Raw genomic sequence first — 2,507 nt, 5'->3', positions numbered from 1 at the left:
GAAAACAGAATGTGTTATTTTAGATAAGGCAGTCGTATTAGTTTTCTAGAGCTGCTGTAAAAAATAACCATAAACTTGGTGGCTTAAACCAACCAACACACAAATTTATTCTTTCATCGTTCTAGAGGTCAGAAATCCTAAATCAAAGCATCAGAGGGCTATGCTCCCTTTAAATGTTCCAGAGGAAAATTTTTCCTTGGCTCTTCTGGCTTCTGGTGGTTCCATGTGTCCCTTGGCTGGTGGTTGCCTATCACCAATCTCTGTCTCTATGATCAGAGAGCTTTACTTCCTTCTGTTTTATCCTTTTTCTCCTCTTCTGTCCCATATAAGGACACTTGGTCAATGGATTTAGGGCTGAGTGGTAATCCTGGATGATCTCATCTTAAAATACTTAATTACATCTGCAAAGATTCTTTTTGTAAATAAGGTCACATTCACAGTTTCTAGGGATTAGGATGCAGGTGTATCTGTTGGGGAGCCAGCACATCACAGTAGTCAAGAAAGGCCTGTTGGTCAAGAAAGGGCTTTTGGTTAAGATAACCTTTGAACTGAAATCAGGATAAAGTGAGAAAATGAGCCAATATGAAAATATTATGTAACAGGAAATATATAAATCACAATGTTTATCCAAAAAGTACTGATATCTTGAAAAAAAAATCTGAGGTGCGCTCTACAAAGAGTTCTGCACCAACGTTTTCACTCTCACTTTGTAAACATAAAATGCTAGTTTTCAACATTCATTGATGATTATTTTTTATGCTAGTTCTTAGAATTTGTCTTGGATTGTCACCAGTGTATTAAGTTCAATAATAAATCAAAGACATGTCTGAGGACATAGAGGATCTAGCTCTAGGGGTTAGGGATAAATGAAAGTGCTAGAAGCTTCTTGAGTTATGATGGTAGATTCTCATTGTGGTGTTTACAGTTGCATGCACAATTACACACTAGGATTTCCCCATACCCTCCCCAATTCCATCATTAACACTCTGTGCATATTTTTAACATTTTTATTCTTCATAAAATGCATATATTTATGGAAAGTTCTTAAGTGATATCAATGTAATGTGGAAGTGTCAACATGAAAAATAACATGAGGAAGGGATGGAGATGCTCATGGGGGTCCAGGGATGAGAATGAAAAAAGGGGAGGTGTTCCCTCCCTCCCTTTCTCCCTTCCCTCGTCTCCCTCCCTTCCTCCCTCCCTCCCTCCTTACTTCTTTCCTTCCTTCCTTCTCAATTTTTTGCCAGGCTGCAGTGCAGTGTCACAATCATAGCTCGCTGCAACCCAGATCTCCTCGGCTCAAATGATCCTTTCACATCAGCCTCCCAAGTAGCTGGGACTACAGGTGTATGCCACCACAATCAGCTAACGTTTTTAAATGTTTTGTAGAGATAGGCTCTCACTATGTTCCCTAGGGCTGGTCTCAAACTTGGCCTCAAGTGATTCTGATATTTATTTTCTAAGGAAAACAAACAAACAGACAAAAATCTCAATCAGAATGCAGCTGAGAACTGACCACAATAACCACAGTGAATTTTAAATACTAGGTGAAATTATATTGCTAAGTACAGAAAAAAAAAACCAGACATTTTTCTATAGGAAGGGTTTCTTTTATTTTTTCTTTTTCTTTCTTTCTTTTTTTAGAGACAGAGTCTCACTCTGTCCGCCACGTTGGAGTGCAGTGGCACGATCTCAGCTCACTGCAACCTCCATCTCCTGTCTCAGCCTCTGGAGCAGCTGGGATTACAGGCACGCACCTCCATGCCCGGCTACTTTTTGTATTTTTGGTAGAGACAGGGTTTCGACATGTTGGCCGGGCTGGTCTTGAATTCCTGACCTCAGGTGATCCGCCCACCTTGGCCTCCCGAAGTGCTGGGATTATAGCCATGAGCCACTGCGCCCCGCCAGGAAGGGTTTCTTATTTCCACTTTCTAACAATAATTCTTTATGTTGAAACCAGAAGAATGTCACTACACAGCAGAAATCAGCATGAAGCAGATCTGGTTTTTGTGCTTCAAGATTTTTTACTCACTGAAATAACATTTCACCTGTGACCCAGTTGTAAGACATAGATGTGAGGAGATTGGGTAATTTTGTCCTTCCCTCTTCACAGATTCTGCAAGTCAGTATCTCATGCAAAGTAGTGCACCACATGACCCGCAGCAATAACCAGCATTCCCAAAGTGAATAGGAGTTCAGGTTTTCTCTCCTAATTATATTATTATACTTACCAGAAAACACAAAGGGCTAAAGCTAGAAGGTACCTTCTACAATGTGTAATGAAGAAAAACTCATTTTGTATTCAGAAATCAGAAAATCTGATTCCTAAATACGGTTCTGAAATTCAGTTTCCTCATCTGAAATGTGGTTAAAACATTGCCTTCACAAGATGTATATAAATGTTTTTTTCTTTTAATATCATCAGGATTAAGAATACCTTAAGAACAACTACCTCAATGCATTTTAGCTGAGAGCTCACAGTTGTTGAAAGGAGTCCTCATAGCTCT

The sequence above is a fragment of the Homo sapiens genome, chromosome 2, assembly GCF_000001405.40.
Source record: "Homo sapiens chromosome 2, GRCh38.p14 Primary Assembly".
In the NCBI taxonomy this organism is placed as follows: Eukaryota; Metazoa; Chordata; class Mammalia; order Primates; family Hominidae; genus Homo; species Homo sapiens.
This window is presented reverse-complemented; position numbering follows the sequence as displayed.